The sequence below is a fragment of the Homo sapiens genome, chromosome 9 (genome assembly GCF_000001405.40).
Source record: "Homo sapiens chromosome 9, GRCh38.p14 Primary Assembly".
NCBI lineage: Eukaryota > Metazoa > Chordata > Mammalia > Primates > Hominidae > Homo > Homo sapiens.
In genome coordinates, this window is record NC_000009.12 from 5,848,356 (window position 1) to 5,867,464 (window position 19,109).

Sequence of the window (19,109 nt, forward strand, 5' to 3'; positions counted from 1 at the left end):
AAAGCAGGGACGTGGATCTGCGCCTAGAACCCTCAGAACAAACACAGCTCTGCCGAGCCATTTCAGACTTCCAAACTCCAGAACTGTCAGATAATACATTCGTATTGTTCTAGGTCCCTAAGTTTGCAACAATTTCTTAGAGCAGCCATAGGAAGCTAATACACATCCAGATACAAGGAGTGGCAGAAAGAAAAGAAGTCTCAGTGGTTTTGTCAATAATTCATTTACAGGTCATGGCTAGCCATTTCTGGTTTTCTACAAGGATTTAGGGAACTAATTATTTTTTAATGTTCAGAGCTTGAATGCTTACCACTGAGTTAAATGACCTCTCTCTACCTCCACCCTGAAAAATGCCTCTTGTTTGAAGGTTGTTTGTAGCTAGAATTTGGGTTTCATAGGGACTGCAACATAGAGACTGCAAAGTTTATTTGTGCTGGAAATTATTAGTGAGGCTAGTTGAATATCACCTTTCTAAAAGAGTGAGTGGGTGAGGACTGGTTCACAGGGGTGTTGGTTTGAGTGCAGGTGGCTACTTGAAAGAGGAGGGACCTATGTGGCTTACTATGGTTAGATGGGGGTTCTGACCTAGCTGAGGAAACCAAGTGGAGAAGCCACTTTGTACTTTAGTTTTACAGTTAGTTTGATTATTTTTATTTTTATTTATATTTATATTTTTATTTTTATTTTAGATGGAGTCTTGCTCTGTCGCCAGGCTGGAGTGCAGTGGCACGATCTTGGCTCACTGCAACCTCTGCCTCCTGAGTTCAACCAAGCCTCCTGACTGGGCTTCCCGAGTAGCTGGGACTATAGGCATGTGCCACCACACCCAGCTAATTTTTGTATTTTTAGTAGAGACAGGGTTTCACCATGTTGGCCAGGAGGGTCTCAATCTCTTGACCTCGTGATCTGCCCAACTTGGCCTCCCAAAATGCTGGGATTACAGGCATGAGCCACTGCGTCTGGCCCAGTTAGTTTGATTTTTACAGCCTGTAGGGGAGAGAAGGGATCCTACAGATACTAATCTAGCACCTTCATTTTACAGATGAGCAACCTGGTCCGGGGGAGGAGAACTGACTTAGCCAAAGCAGACAGGGGGTCCTGGCCAGGATTAGAGCCCGAACCCAACCCCAGCTCCTTGCTATGCCCACTTCCTTCATCTCTCTTCCCACACCACTTGGTGTGGTTCTGTGTACACTAATTGGACATTTCCCATAAACAAAGTCATGGTTTGGTCACTGTTCAGAAGGTGGTATTTGTAGACTCAGATCACCAAGTGATATCCTCACTTCAATAAGTTGTCCTGTGATTCTTGGTTAATAAAACCCATGCTGTTATAACAAGTTTATTTCAGAGCCACATGTGTTATTAAAATAAATTACTCTGTTCTAGCACACTTTTGGCATGTTTGGTTCTTATAGAAGAGCCTGTGCTAGCAGTGGTAAGTTTAGCTACCTACCAGTTGGATCACATATAAATCTACCCAAATCTTGACACAAGACAGTAAAATCTAGGCCAAAGGGCACTCTTCCACCCATGCCCCAAACTCACACATGCCTTATTGCTCTTAGCAAGCAGACTCGAAATTAATGAACACAGAATCATATCCATGGTGGGATTGTGGATTTCAATCGTGGCCTTGCAGTGTAGGCACCACAGGTTATTTCTTACCAATCAGGAAACAAACCCAGAGTGTTTAAGGAATAGGCCCAAAAGGTCACACAGCCTGCTGTTATCAGAGCAGGCCAGGGCCCAGGTCTCCCCCCCTTTACACTCTGTGGACTAGTGTGACTCTGTGGATCATCGGCATCAGAATTACCCTGAGTGCTTGCTAGAAATAGAGAATTCCTCGAGACCAGCCTGGCCAACATGGTGAAACCCATCTCTACGAAAAATACAAAAATTAGTTGGGCATGGTGGCAGGCACCTATAATCCCAGCTACTTTGGAGGCTGAGGCAGGAGAACTGCTTGAACCTGGGAGGTGAAAGTTGCAGTGAGCCAAGATCGCACCATTGCACTCCAGCCTGGGCGACGAGAATGAAACTCCGTCTCAAAAAAAAAAAAAAAAAAAAAAAAGAAGAAGAAGAAAAAAAGAAATAGAAAATTCCCTGGCCTTCTGGGGTGGTTGGGGGAATTGGGAGGGAGCATGTGGCTGAGGAAACTGAATGTTTAACAAGTTCCTCCTGTGACTCTGAGATACCGTGAAGTTCGTAAACCTCTGAAAATGCTCACTGTCAGTGGTTCTCTACTCTCACTCTACATAAGAACTAGATGAAGCATCAGAAAAACCCAAAAACAACAACAACAAAAAATCCTGGGCCCAATCCCAGTATTCAGTTAATTTGGATGGTGCCAGGCAATTGTATAATTTTGGAAAATGGCTCAAATGATTCTAATGTGCAGTCAGAGTTGGAAACCCATGGCCATTGTGAACAGTGGTACCAAATGCTATACCTGAAAGGGCAGCCACCCTGTAATTCTACCCTAGCCTTCTGGCCATGTCCTAGCTTGCAAGCTCTGAGGAGGTAGGGCAGGACTCTGAAGAATAGAGAATGAATGAGGAACAAGGTTGCATCCTTTGAAAACTCCAGAGCTTTGATCAGTTACCTCACCCTCAATTCAATCCCCCATCCAGGAACTGCCCATGCCCTGACATCCTCCCTTGACTTATTCCCAAAGATCTCACACTGTGTTCCCTCTTTTAGACCCTTCAGAACAAAATCTGAAGATGTTAGCCCTTTTAGGCCCAACATCTCTATGCTGTGCTGGTATCAAGCAAAGCCTCCAAGATGTTTCCAATTTGTGAACATAGTGCATCTTGTAATTGATTTGTTCTTCTCTTTTCTCTATCTACTAGGAAGCTCAGAGCCAAATCTGAGGCACACCTTTAGCAGTCATACAGCACCTTATGGCATACATTTGCTATACCTTATTTTCCTGTCATAGCTTTTCTTTCATTTGTTTCTGTTTACCTATTTTTTACAGAGAAATGTCCTTTTTTGATTTATTCTGACATGCTATAAATGAATTAATTACACTATTTAAAGACTTTTCATCAATACATTTCTCTTTCTCTTGGGTCAGACAGAGAAAAAGAAAAGAGCATGCAAGAAAGATGGAGAGAAGAAACACATGCACACAGATAATATATAGAAGTGGGAGGAGGCGAGGGAGGGTTCGTGATCATATCAGCCTTACACAGGGTGGTGCTCTCCAAGGGGCAAGAGTCAACCTGCTTATTATAACCATTTCACAAGGATCTTAAAGGAACTTCCTTCTATGGTCAAACCCTTTTGTTCTTACTCAGAATCAGTCTAGCTGTTAAGTCTGTGGCAGCTGGAGCTACAAAACCAAGGCCTGAAAGTTGCAAAACTAGGTACTGTGACTGTGAGTCACCTTTCCCCTTCACACACATACACCCCACAAAATTGATTTTAACACACATAAAAATTGAGAAAACACTATAATACTAAATCTAAGATGATTTACAAAGGAATATTACTTAACGAATGGCTTGAAGTAGTTTTTTAAAAGCTTGGAGAGATTTTGATTTCATAATGAGTCAACAAGTCATTTTTTCTGCCATTAAAAAATCTCATTTCTTAATAAAAACACTTAGTTTTTCATGACCTTATAAATAAAAAAGCTCCCATTTCAAAGTAAAAATGAAATCTAAGATTATATAGACGTTTATGTCATTACTTTTATCTAAGCAACATACATACATGCTCAAGTAAAGCAAAAGGTTAAGTAAATTTCTGCAATAAATAGGCTGCTTTTGAAATGCAAAGAACATTATAAAGAATGCAGAATCTTAAGGGTAATCAAGCAGTCATTAAGTTTTTCTTAAGTATTCACTTTAGATGTTGTTATTTCTGGCACAGGTAAGCAGCAGAGTGTTTTTTTTTGTTTTTTTGTTTTTTTTTTCCAGACAGCGTCTCATTCTGTCATGTAGCTGGAGTGAAATGGCATGATCAAGGCTCACTGCAGCCTTGACCTTCCCACGCTCAGGTGACCTCCCTCCTCAGCCTCCCTCATAGCTGGGACTACAGGCATTGCCACCAGCTAATTTTTGTATATTTTGTAGAGATGGTCTTTTGCCATGTTGCCCAGGCTGGTCTCGAACTCCTGGGCTCAAGTAATCCAGCTGCCTCAGCCTTTGAAAGTGCTGGGATTACAGGTGTGAACCACTGTACCCCACCATAGCAGCAGAATTTTTTATGTGCTCAAATACTGGAATCTTTGGTTACTGCCATATCAGCAAAGAAGCCAACCATTTTAAGAATGTTTTATGAGAATGTTCATTAAAAAAAAAAAAAAAGAATGTTTTAAGTGAACACCTTGCAAATCCTAAGGATAGCTATCTATTTTTTTAACCTTGTATGTATTTTAATAAGCTGCCTCAAACATGCTTTTTGAAATCAGGGAAGATATAGAAAAATTAATAACAGCAACTGATAGGATTCAATTCATCACACTGAAACATGTTTTTGTAAATGAGATAAAAATCCTTTCCTGACTACAGGGTCATCTCACCTGTTAGTTCTTTTCACTACAGGGGAGAAAACAAACAAACCAGCAAAAACCTTTTCCTCTGCCCTCTTAGGTTCAGTGTCTGGGGCCTGAGAATTAAACTGGCAAAAGACAGATTAACAGGGGAAAAAGCATCTATTTTATGGACAAAGGAAACGGGTTTGGGCTTCTGGGGGTGAAAAATTGTAGGAAAGTGACTAGGAAGTATACAGGGAAAGTAATGGAAAGCAAGGGTTGCTTTAGTAAGGTGTCTTTATGCCAACTCATCTCAGTGCCAGTTTTCTGTCTCTAGTGATAGGTTACTTTCTTCATTCTGATACAGGAGAAGGGTGGAAATTTATGCCACCTTCACAAAGGGAAATTTATGTCCTGCTTCTAGGCAGAAAAGGAAAGGGCAGAGAGCTCTTCTTACAACTGCTATTTCTCCATTGCTTTCAGCCCAAAATAATCATATGCCAAGGTGGCATACTTTGGGGTGGTATAACCTGATCCCCTTCACCATGTCACTTAAATTCTCTCTTGTCCTGTTGCTGTGCTCAGAGATGCCCTGGGGTTTCAGTGTTGATCTCCCAGAAGAGCCATACATATCCTGTAAGAAACTATGCTCTGTTGGTTAAGAAACAGCCACCTAGATAAAGTTCAAAGAATTCTGCACTCCAGATTGTGTATGTTCCTAAATGTGGTTTGGCCTGGAGAAACAAGGACCAGGAAATCATGGAAAGCCAGGCAGATGGGAGTTAGAGAGCCTGGCAAGGGTCCTAAACAAGTGCTCCGTGCCTACCCTCCCACTACCCCCTGCCCATCTCTCCAGGAAGTGGTACTCAAACTCGAGCATGTGTTAGAATCACCCAGAAGGCTTATGAAAACAGATCCCAGGTCTTTGCCCACAGAATTTCAGATTTAGTAGATCTAGAATGCCCAGTAATTTGCAATTCTAACACGCTCTCTAGATGTAGCCTTGCTTCTGGTCAGAGACACCCTGAGTAGCACTGCTCTAGGGTGGTGAGACTCTCTGTCTTCCAGACAGGCTTTAAACTGACAAAAGACAGATGAACAGAGGAAAAGGCATTCATTTTATGGATGTTAATATTTTTACATAAATGGGGGCTTCACAGAAAAGAAGTGAAGAGCCAAAGAAGCAGTTAGACCTGGAGCTTATATATCATTTTAACAAAGGGGGATAAATTGTGGCCAGGTGATTAGATAAAAGAAAGGGGTTTGGGCTCCCCACTCTTTCTCCAGTGGGGAGAAAGAAGCTGCTGTGGGTGAAGTTTTACTGGGGATCTGGAGGAGGAGAAGGGGCCATGCTCATATCTGTATCTAGGTGCTAGAAAGAGAACAGCTGAGATTTTCCATAAACTGTCAGTACTAGTCAGGCTGAATCAGAGTGAATCTTTGGAATAGAAAAAAAATAAAGATTTTGCTTTCTCATCATCATAACACTCTTCTATTCAGTCTAGGCATAGCTAGTGCAACCTTTTGCTCCACCCAACCAGCTCCATTCCCTTTATCAATTATTTATAATATGCTTGGGTCACTCACGGGAGAAAAACACTGTCAGCATCAAGAGGTAGCAGAATTTTCAAAATACATTTTGCTGTCTTGAACAAAAAGTTTAACTATTTATTAGTCAGTAGTTCCATATGGTCTTATACTTTTTTCTGAGTCACAGTTTCACTGTGTCGCCCAGGCTGGAGTGCAGTGGTGTGATCTCCACTCACTATAACCTTCACCTCCTGGTTTAAGTAATTCTTGTGCCTCAGCCTGTAGCTGGGACTACAGGCGTGCGTCACCATGCCTGGCTAATCTTTCATATTTTTGGTAGATATGGGGTTTTGCCATGTTGCCCAGGCTGGTCTAGAACTCCTGACCTCAGGTAATCCACTCTCCTCAGCCTCCCAAAGTGCTGGGATTACAGGTGTGAGCCACCACACCCGGCCTGGTCTTATTACTTCTATACATAAGACAGGATCTTTCAACATTTATGTAGGTTAATATTTCCCATGTTTTTTGAGGATTCCCAAAAGACTTTGGGGGTTGCCAAAAAACTTTTAGGGGTTGAATCTTTTCGCAGTAACAGAAAGGGGAAACATCAATCCATGAGAGTTCAGACCAGCAGTTTAATAACACCCTCTTTCATAGCTCAGTTCCCAGTGCATGAAGAGATTCAAAGCAATCTTCTTGTTCTCAGTTCTTAGAAAGAAAAATTTGAGAGAGATAAAAGCAGTAATTATCTGTATTATTTAATAACTTAAATGTAATAGCCTAAGAAAAAACAGATGTCAAAAATATATAGTCTAAAAAAATAGAAGCTAAATCCTTTCCTCCTAGGATGTCTGAAAAGGAGAGACTCTATGGAGTATGGATGAAGCAAAAAAGGAGTGATTCCTACTGTGAAAGATGAACTGTGGACATAGTCACTCCAGACCACTGAGAGCAATTAGCCAATTTCATTGTCACCAGGAGGGCACATACCAGAGAATCTGGGAGAAAGCCTGGGCTAGAGCCCTTAGCATTCTCAGGCTTACTGGTGCTGTGATTCAACAGCCTTTGAGGGGATGAGGAGAACCAAAGACCACCACCATCACTTGTAAAAAGGATACTATAGCAACAACACAACTGTCAAAAATCACCTAGAGCTTAGACTGTATGCTGTTTGAAATCCAGCCTGAGTTGCTTTCTTGTGGAGGTATTGAGACATGTGCAGAGATACCTTAAATATGTGCAGGGGGCCCTTCTTTTTAAAGGACACTTCATGAGCTCTTTCTGCTCATTAGTTTTCCTAAGAGTTCACCATTTAAGCTAGAAAGATGCTGCAAGCTATCTCAGCTAGCTTCTAATTTGGACATAGCCCCAATACTACACACACAATTGAACAAGTGAAGAATCTTCCTGATTCTTCTTTGGACTGAATAGGTGTGATCTTGTTAAGAAAAATATGTAGACTTAGGGCCAGATTTTATCAGTCTCCATCCCAGAAAAATGGTGGAGCAAGCCTGGGCTCTTGCATAATTAAATGACTGGCTTTGCCACAACCTTGTACTGTCTTATCCTGGCAGCAACTGCTTCGATTTATCATCTTCCTGCTGGACTAATGGTTCTCCAGAGATGTCATCAATCCCATGTACACCAGGTGGATTGAAGCCCAGGTTATATACCCTGCTGCAAGGAGGGTGAATCCAACGTCGGCTGAGACAATCTTTAAGTGTTTCGAATGGAATCTTCAAACAGATCACTAAATCCACTTCATATATTTTGTCTTCAAATCAGGGCATTGGTTTGTCCTAAAGTCCTCAGAAAACCATCTGGGAGCCAGTGCTGGGCATACCTGTTCTCCAACTCTGACACCATTAGGTGTGTGATCACATGGTCTGGAACCGAAAGACTGTTCTCTGTTTATTGTTTTGCCATGTCAGTAACTTCGGTGTTGGCCTTGGTGTTCTCCCGCAAGAAATGGCCATTGGAGAGATGCTGGAGGCCAAACTTCTGGGCCAAGAGGAGCGGCCGGAGGATGACCATGTGCAGGAGTTTGGAAGCCATTGCCTTTGGGAGGAGTGGGGTGGCCAAAGGCGCAGCCAAGACGACCAGAGGGAGCACCAAGAACTTTGTTTCTTGGCCCCAACCTCTGGCACCCTCTCTGCTGGCTCTGGTACTCTGGTTACTCTCCTACTCAGGGAAGGAGAGACTTTTAAGACAACCCCTCCCCTTAGCCCTGTGCGGGGACTAACTCAGCCCTGTGCCAGTAGTCACATTCCATAAAGTCACAGCAAACACTGAATTAGCAAATACTGAACCATTGCTCCTAAAGGAAATACAGGGTCAGGTCTGGCGAGTCTCTGGTCACATTTTCACCAATCAATACATAACCTTGTTTTATGTGTGTTTCTGATTTGGGGACACTTTATTTAATATATATTGTTGATTCACTAATTTTGAACTCACGCCCAACAGCACTGTAACTCATGCCTGAACAAAACGTATACATGGAATTTTCTTTGCAAGGCACATTACAGCCTTCTTGGGCTTAAGGACACTTCAGTAACTTTATGACCAGTCTTGGGGGCCATTTTAAACATTGAAATCATCAATGAAAACCATGTGGAAAACATGACATTAAATGGACCATGACTTTTTTTTCTTTTTTTTCATTTGGAGACAGGGTCTTACTCTGTCACCCAAGCTGGAGTGCAGTGGCACAATTATAGCTCATTGCAGCCTTGATTTCCCTGGGCTCAAGCCATCCTCCCACCTCAGACTCCCAAGTAGCCGGGACTACAGACCTGTGCAATCATGCCTGGCTAATTTTTGTATTTTTTGTAGAGATGGGGTTTTGCTGTGTTGCCCAGGCTGGTCTCAAACCCCTGAGCTCAAGGGATCCTCCTGCCTTGGCCTCCCAAAGTGCTGGGATTACAGGCATGAGCCACTGTGCATGGCCGAAATTTTTTTCAATATGAGAGCTGAAATAAGAAGGCAGAGTCTGTGTCACTTTGTTTGCCTCGGCTGGGCACGTGCACATCCAGCAACTCAAAATTTTTACAACTCTGCGTGTGTCTCAATGACCACAAAAGTGCCATGAAAATTGATTTGGGGATTACAAATAGATTTTAGTGAGTAGACGAATTTGCAAATATAGAATCTGCAAATGATGAGCATCTACTATACCTAGACTTCACTCTTCTCCCTACTTATAATCTATTGGTACATCCCATTGACTGAACCCAACCAGAGGTCAGAATAACCTGTCAATACCATCTTATAAAGGTCAACTTCCTGAGTACCAAACAGGGTAAGCAAGGGTGGACAGTGGATCTGCAGGGGATCTAGAAAATATTCAGCATATCATCCCACGTTATCTGTAGCCTTGACTGGGATCCCTAGGGATCTGCCTATTTTATAAGACATTCATTCACTCATTCTTTTGTTCATCAAGTGTTTACTAAGCACCTAGCAATAAGCTATGTTCTGTGAGGTGTCTAGTAGAGGCTTAAAAATATTAGAAGATGTCGACCCCATTCTCTAAGGGCTCACAGTCCAGAAAGAAGAGCTGATAGTCAACTGACACATATTTGAGCACCTCCTATATTCCAGACTCTTTTTCAGGTGCCCAGGATGTGGCAGGTCCCAAGACAAATCTTTGTCCTGGCATAACTTACAGACCAGAGCAGAAGAAAGGGAAGTGGTTGAAAGACCTCATTGAAGGAAGGTTAGTGCTCTCATAGGAGCATTCACTCATCAGGGGAACAAGTAGGGCAGTGAGCATGGCCACAGAATAGTCAGCAAGAGCTTTCTGGAGGCAAGAAAGAGTATGGTTTGAAGGGCTCTGAGTCAGTGCCTGGAACCCAGATTGGGGAAGTAAAAATGATGAGAGATGAAGGCAAGTATTTGCAAAAATATGATTATATTACTAGTCCCAGTGCTGAGAAGTTCCAAAGAGAGGGACAGGTTAAAGCACTGCATGAGCTCACAGGAGGGTAAGACCATGTTGAACAGACCCTACGAGGACAAGCAAGACTTGGGCATGCAAACAAGAGCCAGACAAAATATTCCAGAGCTCCTGGCTCACTGTAATAACTTTCTCAAAGACAGGGGTTCCTATCATCCCTCCCCAGCCTCTGTGCTGCACACAGTGTCCTGCACACCTCCACTCAGTGGCATGCATTCTGCTAGCCTATAGCTGCCCTTAAGTGCCCAGGGAGGCCCACCTCCTCCTCCGGAGCACAAGAGTCAGAGTGGTAAAGAGAAGTTCTCCAAAGAGAGACTCAAAAGCTTAAGGTAAAAGTGTGGGGCAAGTGGGATCCTGGGGTACTACTCAAATCACATCATGCATGGCCCCCTTTTCCTTCATGGTGGTTCTGAGGTCAGAGAAATGTTCAACAACAATGCACACACTCTCCCAGTTCAACGTCAAGTAGTCATGCTCCATAGAAGCTGGAAGGATGGATGGATGATGGATGGATGGGAACATAGCATAACCTAATTCTCTATACTGTGTGGGACCAGGCAGGCTTCAAGCAGTGGTTCCTTCCCCTCACTGAGGCTGGGAGTTCACCAAGTCCCTATATGCCTGGCTCTGCCCTAGTCCCTCTCGCAGACATGAACTAATTTCATACTTGCAAGAACCTTGAGAGGTGACTATTGTTTGCTCCATGTAATGCATGGTAGCTTAGTAACCTATTCCAAACATCACGGCTAGCAAGAGGTGAATTTAGACTTGACTCTAATGCCTCTGACTCCAAGTCATGTCCTCTCTCTGTGTTCCTTTTCCATTTGCTTCCTCTTTTCTTTTCCTTTTCCTAATTATTTAGCAGGAAGTCCTTCTGAAACGGGATCTTCTCTGTTCTAAACAGGACTTAATGGAATACTCTCCTTGGCAAAGACACTTTGGCAAAGGGAGCTCTTGCTACTCTCTTGGGAGTGACTTGTTCTTTTAACCTTTCAAAGCACTTCCCCAACCCTCATAACATTTAAACCTTACAAGAACCATATAGGATAATTAGGTAAAGTTATGATCCATAGTTTCAGATAAGTAAACACAGGCTCTGAGGAATTTAATAACTAATCTGAAAATCATGCAGCCTTACCCTGAGACAAAACAAGAAAGACTCTCCAGAGTTCCAATCTCTTCCTCCTGGCCTAGAAATGGCAAGTGGGCAACATCTTTTACGGAGAGAAGTTCCGAGGCGAAGTTCAGGGAATGAGAAAGACCTGTGATCAGTTGACAATGCCTGTCATGGGTGAGAAAAAGGAAAATAGAGGCACATGTGCTTGGTATTTGCTATCCCAACTTACCCATAACTATTTCAAAGCCTTAAGTTGTTTCTCACCTTAATGAGGAATTATGTTAATTCCCTTACAAGTAAGGCCTGGCACATAGTTGATGCTTACTACAGAGACGTACTATAATTTACTGAGTGACTGCTATTCCTCAGGCACTGTGCCAGGCTACATAGCTACATTCAAGTGTATCATTACTAAGTATTTAGATTTACTAAATTTAAACACAGCCTTAGATATACTTTGAAAAAACCACACCCCTGTATTACACAGGTCTTAGTACCAGAATTTTTAATATCTTAATAAAGAATTCTTACATGCTAAATAAGCTCAACTTAAGTTTATTAAGAAAGCATTGGTCAGGCACAGTGGCTTATGTCTATAATTTCAGCACTTTGAGAGGCTAAGACTGGAGGATTGCTTGAGCCCAGTTTGAGACCAGCCGGGGCAGTATAGTGAGACCTTGTCTCTACCAAAAAAAAAAAAAAGTTTTAATTAGCCAGGTGTGGTAGTGCATACCTGTAGTCCCAGCTACTTGGGAGGCTGAGTCAGGAGGATTGCTTGAGCCCAGGAAATAGAGGTTGCAGTAAGCTGTAATTGTGCCACTGTCTGCAGCCAGACCCTGTTTCCAAAAAAAAAAAAAAGAAGGAAGGAAGCATTTATATTTATAACTGGGATAAATGCACTGTCAGTATTTTAGGGATGAAGTTTACTGCCAGCAAGCACAGTGAGGGCAGGAGCTCTGTTCCATTCATCTTTATGTCTCCAGTGTCTGGCCAGCTGTACATTAATATAAATATGGATGGATAAGTGAGTAAATGAATGAAGCTCAGAGCCATAACGTATGGGCTCAATTGCTCATAACGTAACCAATGGCAAGTGACATACTACATGTTCTCTCTCTAGTGGCCATGAAAGTTGCAAGGACAATTTTATCAACTTCAGTCCACAATTTTTTTTTTTTTTGTAGAGATCGGGGGGTCTCACTCTGTTGCCCAGGCTGGCCTCGAACTCCTGGCCTCAAGCAATCCTCCTGCCTCAGCATCCCAAAGTGCTGGGATTACAGGCATAAGCAACCATATCTGGCCTCATTAAAAAAAAACTGTAGAGACAGTCTCCCTGTGTTGCCCAGGCTGGTCTCAAACTCCTGGTCTCAAGTGATCTTCCTGCCTCAGTCTCCCAGTAATCATGATAATGGATTACTATGGTGGCTGGTTCCCTATAAAAGGGTCATTTCACTGTCCCACCTCCACCCTCTCTCACTCTCTCTCCTTCTGTCATGTGATAATGTAGCAAGAAGGCCCTCACCAGATGCCAGCACCTTGATATTGGAGTTCCAGCCTCCAGTACTATGAGCCCATACATTTCTGTTCATTGTAATTTCCCAGTCTGTGGTATTCTGTTATAGCCACACAAAATGGACTGAGACAGGGATCTAGTAAGAAGCTATGCTCTCTGTCAAAATGTTTCTGCATTTCTGAGAGGCAGTGAACCCACAATGGCTTAGGGGGTGTGTGTGTGTGTGTGTGTGTGTGTGTGTGTGTGTGTGTGTGTGTGTGTAAAAGCTAAGAAAAAGTAAAGTACTGGAGAGGGAAAAAAAATCAGTTAATAACTCAAAGTATTATCCCAGGATGTCATCATTGGCCTTAGCTGTGCTGAATTTGGGTGAAAAAAAAGTAAGATTTAAGGAAATATATTCTACACTCTTTCTACTCAAGGTACAGGGTTGAGTTTTCAAAATCATACTTGCTGGGTTTTTTTTTACTATTTTATTGAGGTATTCAGTACCACCTTTAACAAGGAGAAAGCAGGAGCCATGTGTGTCAATCTTGATTAAAGACCTATTTGTCTTCTTTTACAGATGGCACTAAAAGCAGATTCCTTTCTCACTAAGAAGTGGACAGTTAACTGTAGACTTAGATGCACAAGACAGGGCCTCTGGAAACCTGGCAAGAGACGGAGATGGAAAGTACTAAGCCAGTAAGGGGCCCTAGGGCTCCACTCTCTTCCCAGTGCAGGCAGAGCTCTAGTGTTGACCCCAGAGAAGAGAGGAAGGGTTTTTTTTTTTTTTTTTTTTTTTTGGTCTGCCCAGAAAAAGAATAGTCCAAGGTCAAAGGATCTCAGCAGGTGCAACAGCAACATCAGGGGAGGGGGACTGCTCATTCTGTTTCTCCAGGCCACCCTGGGGAGATGGCTCCTGGCCCTTCTCTTTTCATGGGGCCAGTTGAGTGTAGTCCCTCCTGTTACCAAAAGTGGTCAGATAATCAGGGGCTGTCCCTCTAGACACAATCCAACCACTAGTCCTTTAAAAGTTAAAGTTTTTTAAAAAATCACATTTTAATTTTTTTTTTAAAAAAAGTATGTATGTATGTATGTATTTATTTATTGAGACAGGGTCTCCTTCTGTCACCCCAGCTGGAGCGCAGTGACACAATCATGGCTCACTGCGGCCTCTACCTCCTGGGCCCAAGTGATCCTCCCACCTCAGCCTCCCAAGTAGCTGGGACCACAGGTGTGTGCCACCATGCCTGGTTAATTTTTAAATTATTTTTGTAGAGATGGGATCCCCCTATGTTGTCCAGGCTGGTCTTGAACTCCTGGCCTCAGGTGATCCTCCTGCCTCAGCCTCTCAAAGTGCTGGGATTACAGACATGAGCCACCATGCCTGACCTACTTATTTATTTATTTTAGAGACAGAGTCTCACTCTGTCATCCACACTGGAGTGCAGTGGTGCAATCATAGCTTATTGCAGCCTCGAACTCCTGGATTCAAGAGATCCTCTCACCTCAGCCTCCCAAGTAGCTAGGACTACAAGTGTGTGCCACCATGCCCAGCTAATTTTTTAATTTTTTGTACTTTTTATTTTTTGTAGAGATGGAGTCTCTGTGTTGCCAAGGCTGGTCTTAAAGTCCTGGCCTCAGGCTGTCCTTTTGCCTAAGCCTCTTAACATGCTGGGATTACAGGCATGAGCCACTGTGTCAGGCTAAAAATCACATTTCTTCATTTTATACATAACATTGGTGCCTAAACCAAAACCCTTGTATTATCATCAAGGGTCATCCTTGATTAACCGGCTTAATCCTTAAGGCCCACAACTGATCACCAAGGTGAGTTCTCATTCCAAAGGAGTGTCTACTTGTTGGGGCCATGGGTTGGTTCTCAGGTCCTATAAATGGACTTGTCCCAGGAGCCCCAACCAAGACTGTGTGACAATCCAATAAAATGCAATAAGAAAGCCAGAATCCAATGGTCTCCCTTAAATGAGGCAGTGTTAATGGAGCAGACAGAGATTTATGTGCAAGAGGAAGAGACTAAAACATCTGTTTGTGGTAGTGCAAAAATTCAGAGAAAGTTTCTTTTGAGCCCATTTTTGCTTTGAGTTTGGAAACCCAGCTCCTGGGGCAATGGAAATACCCCTAGTATCCAATAATTACAGCAGCAAGAAACCCTGTCTTCATAGGGAAAGGACAAAGACCCTGCTATCTTAGGCTAGTACTGCCAGTTTAAAGGCCTCATTAGACATGTAATGTTAGAAATGTTACATTTCCAATGATGGGCAGCTTCAGTGCCTTTGTACTTTGCAACAGAGTTTAAAGGCAATACTTTCAAAGCAGGAGTTTCTGCAATGTTGCCAATGACTTTAAAGTAGACGATGCCAGAACCTGGGATTTGGCATATCCCAAGGACTCCCTTTCCATCACCACAACATTCTTATGTCTAAACCATAGGAAAGACAGTTTCCCATTACTCCTTGCATCAAGGCTACTGTTGTTTTACTGAGGTAAGAAAATGAAAATGATAAGAACCAGAGGGCAAAGCCTGCCCTACCCAGTGGTGACAATAATGAGGGTGTGTCCAGCTGGGGAGAGGGCAGAGTCCTCAGATGACCTTGTTTGGGGCTGGCACAGGTCCTCCTTCCCTGTCTGGGTGCAGTTACATATCAACAAGCGTTACTGTTGATATACTATGTAAGGATCAGAGGGAAGGTCAAAAGCTTGCCTGCCCTTGGGAAGCTGGGTGGAGCTTCTTGGAGCCTTCAAAAAATAATTTTAAAAGACAATTTCCTATTACAGAAGCTACATGTATTCATCATCAAAACTTAGCAGACATATGTGTATCTTTTATTATTATAATTAACAAAAATGGGAACATTCTATTTTATAACTGGCTTCTTTCACATAATAATACAGTATGGGCATTTTCTGGTGTCAATAAATATTTACCTATATCATTTTTAGTGACTGAATAATAGTTCAGTAGTATAGATCTACTGTACTTTATTTGAAATCTTTTATTAGGTATTTAGATCATTTCCAATTTTTTACTTCTATAAACATCACCATACTGGACATCCTTGTAAAATACATTTCTGTTGTCTATGCCCATTTTAAAAAAGCTTATGATAGATATGGCCAAACTGCCCTCCAGAATTGCACATTTTCACTAGTCATGAAGTAGCATGTCAATTTGACTGTTGGAAATTGGTAGCTGAATGTGGTTTTAATTTACATTTCATTGATCAATGAAGTTGAACATTTTCCTCATAGACTTGTTGCTTGAGGCCATTTTCAAAAGGAAATAGGATCTCTGGGTGAGGAGTGTTCTGTTCCTCTAGTCTCCCTATCAGTGCAAGCCACTGTTTACTCAGTAAGGGAAAGGGCCAACCTGGAGAAACATCATTAAGCAGGCAAGACTCCTCACCAAGAACCCATCCTCCCAGATGAGATTCCAGTACCCCCACTCACCCTGCAAAACCCACTGTCAAGGAAGAACTGAAAGCTCATTTATACTAGAGTAGAAGTAATTAATAGCACTTTTGTTGAGCTATCCTTCCCAGGCTATTTAACCTCACCCCCGTGGGGAGGGGGGCGAGCGGGTATTTGACCCTTCTAAAAGCCTCAAGTGAAGGGAACAAAGCTGTCAAAATGACAGGCTTTCCTCAGGGGGTGGTAGAGATGTTTGGGGCAGGTGGAAGAAGCCAGCTTTTCCAGATCCGCAAGAATTCTGGCACCTTCCTTACCAGGATGTAGGCAGGCCTGGAGAAGAAGAGGCTGATCACTGGACAGGAGGCTTGTATTTCAGCATTAACCCCTGTATTCCCTGAGGCTCCATTCTGAACTTTAGTTAGGAGGTGTCTTGCAGAGTTCTTTGCAACTATTGGTGCCTAATGTGTGTGGATGGTGAGTTCCAGTGTGGTGGCATGATATTAAAATAAATGAACTAACACCTTTTCTGCAAGATAACAGGCTGCTTCAGATATAACATGAGATCCTAACTTGTGACTCAACAATATTTCTTTGGAGAGTTGTTTCATGGAAAAAAAAATCACTGAAGGAAAAATCCTGTATTTATGAAGATGTTTTTTGCAACACAATTGGCCAAACATTTAGAAATGCGGTAGTAAATTATGGTACAATTGCTAGATTAAAAATTACACAATCATTAAAAATGATCATCAGGACATAGGAAAATGTTCCTTTATATAAAATAAATGAAAAATTTATACATATACATATGTATATATAAAAAATTATGCCCAATCATACTTTAAAATTTATATGTAGGCTGGGCGCAGTGGCTTACGCCTGTAATCCCAGCACTTTGGGAGGCCAAGGCGGGTGGATCACGAGGTCAGGAGATAGAGACCATCCTGGATTAACACGGTGAAACCCCGTCTCTACTAACAATACAAAAAAATTAGCTGAGCGCGGTGGCAGGCGCCTGTAGTCCCAGCTACTTGGGAGGCTGAGGCAGGAGAATGGCGTGAGCCCGGGAGGCGGAGCTTGCAGTGAGCCGAGATCGCGCCACTGTGCTCCAGCCTGGGCGACAGAGCAAGACTCCATCTCAAAAAATAATAATAATAATAATAATAATAATAATTTATATGCAGGCCGGGCGCAGTGGCTCACGCCTGTAATCCCAACACTTTCGCAGGCCGAGGCAAGCGGATCACCTGAGGTCAGGAGTTTGAGACCAGCCTGGCCAACAGGTCTCTACTAAAACCTGGTCTCTACTAAAATACAAAAATTAGCTGGGCGTGGTGGTGCACGCCTGTAATCCCAGCTACTCGGGAGGCTGAGGCATGAGAATCGCTGGAAACTGGGAGGAGGAGGTTGCAGTGAGCCAAGATCGTGCCACTGTACTCCAGCCCGGGCAACAGAGTGAGGCTCTGTCTCAAAAAAAAAAAAAAAAAAAATGATAATATAAGTAAATAAATAAATAAAAAATATATAAAATGAGTTCAGAAGAAAATACAGCTAAAAGTTAGCAGGGTTTATATCTGGGTTCTGACATTAATAGTAATTTAAATTTTCTTCCTCATTCTTTTTGCATTTTCCAAGTTTTTGGCAGTAAGTGTGTTACTTTTAATAATAATTTTTTAATCAAATAATTGTGAACACTTTATCATTATGTGATTGTTGTACGGTAGAATATAAATGAATAAAAGCAGATTTTAAACACGTAGGTGTGCTATTACACATAATACACTTCCATTTTGGGGGGTAAATTGCAGATGAGCCCCTCTCTTACACCAGTTTCCATTGGTGTTGGGACTATATTGTTTGTAGAACTATTACTAGTTACCTCTTTGATTTCTAGATCGAACAGGATATATTGTTTGGATAATATTTCTTCTGTTTCGGGGAACAGAACCAATATTATCCAAACAACATACCCAAACCATAGGATCCAACAATAGTGGGGAGAGGATAAGTAGGCAGAGGATTGTTGGATCCTACTGTTTGGATATATACAAACAGAGCTGCTCCTCCACACAGCCTGGGGGCTGTGCGAGAATGCTATTAATATGCAGACTATGACAAACAGCCCAGAATTGGTAGCTCACTTGATGCTTTTGAAATCACTTGTACACAGATTATCTCACCTCCCTCTCAACCACTCCAAAAGACTGATTTAGGTCAAGAACAGATGAACTTGTAATTTCATAGAACTGGAGGCATGGGAAACTAAGGAAACCTGTAATCAAATTTGAACAGAAGGTCTTCAAACCCAAAGTACTTGATTTGAATTAATAGTATTATAAAAGTTTTTTCAAAAATCTGAGTGGCGATGAGAGGGTCAGATGATGACCCAGCTGTGGGAAGAGAGGGTGGGGATGGGCAAAGAGCAAGGTATGTATATTAGTGCTGTGCTTCCTGTTCCTTTTCTATTCGTGAGCCCTCAGGCAAGTTACACAAGCTCCCTGAGCCTCATTGGCCTCATCTGTAAAATGGGACTGGTAATAAGAATGGGTTGTTTGAGGCCAGGCACAGTGGCTCATGCCTATAATCCCAGCACTTTGGGAGGCTGAGGCAGAAGGATTGCTTGAACCCAGGAGTTTGAGCAACATGGTGAGACCCCATCTCTACAAGAAAATTTAAAAATTACCTGAGCATGCTGGCGCACACCTATAGTCCTGGCTACTTGGCAGGCTGACACAGGAGGATCACTTGAGCCGAGGAGGTCAAGGCTGCAGTAGGCCATGATTACACCACTACGCTCCAGCCTGGGCAACAGAGCAAGACTCTGTCTTGGAAAAACGGGGGAGTGGGGGGGTCTTGTTTGAAAACCAAATGAGTTAATTTGTATGTATAACATGTGCAGAGTATGCTCATTAAATGAGTATTATATTTCTTATTTTCTGAAAAACCAGGAAAACAGTACTTTCTTATTTCTTCTTCAGAAGATGGGGCCAAGAGGGTGGGGAAGCCCACAGCCATTGCCTTGTCTTAGTAGGTCTAGGAGGCAGGGGGAGGCCTCTGCCATCCTTGCATGGTTGGGAAGAAGTAGAATTATACAGCA

The 19,109-nt window shown here is 42.5% G+C and overlaps 1 protein-coding gene and 1 pseudogene across 1 annotated transcript in view, besides 1 other annotated feature; both read right to left on the bottom strand.

Moving 5' to 3' along the window:
• The window catches only part of ERMP1 (endoplasmic reticulum metallopeptidase 1), an 82,520-nt gene extending 63,784 nt beyond the window's left edge, over nucleotides 1–18,736 (bottom strand). Inside the window, exons 1-2 of the mRNA XM_017015139.3 lie at nucleotides 18,696–18,736; nucleotides 11,113–11,256 (exon numbers count right to left, since the gene is read on the bottom strand). Of these exons, the coding sequence (XP_016870628.1) occupies nucleotides 11,113–11,256; nucleotides 18,696–18,703 (152 nt within the window). The 5' untranslated portion in view covers nucleotides 18,704–18,736. The remainder of the gene's footprint in view (nucleotides 1–11,112; nucleotides 11,257–18,695) is intronic.
• Nucleotides 5,477–5,526: a silencer, noted in NCBI's record as "silent region_19757". NCBI's record gives its function as "represses an Ori minimal core promoter by ATAC-STARR-seq in GM12878 lymphoblastoid cells {active_cell/tissue: GM12878}" and the evidence as "EXISTENCE:reporter gene assay evidence [ECO:0000049][PMID:35858748]".
• AK4P4 (adenylate kinase 4 pseudogene 4) lies at nucleotides 7,234–8,255 on the bottom strand (annotated as a pseudogene).
• Nucleotides 18,737–19,109: the final 373 nt, after the last annotated feature.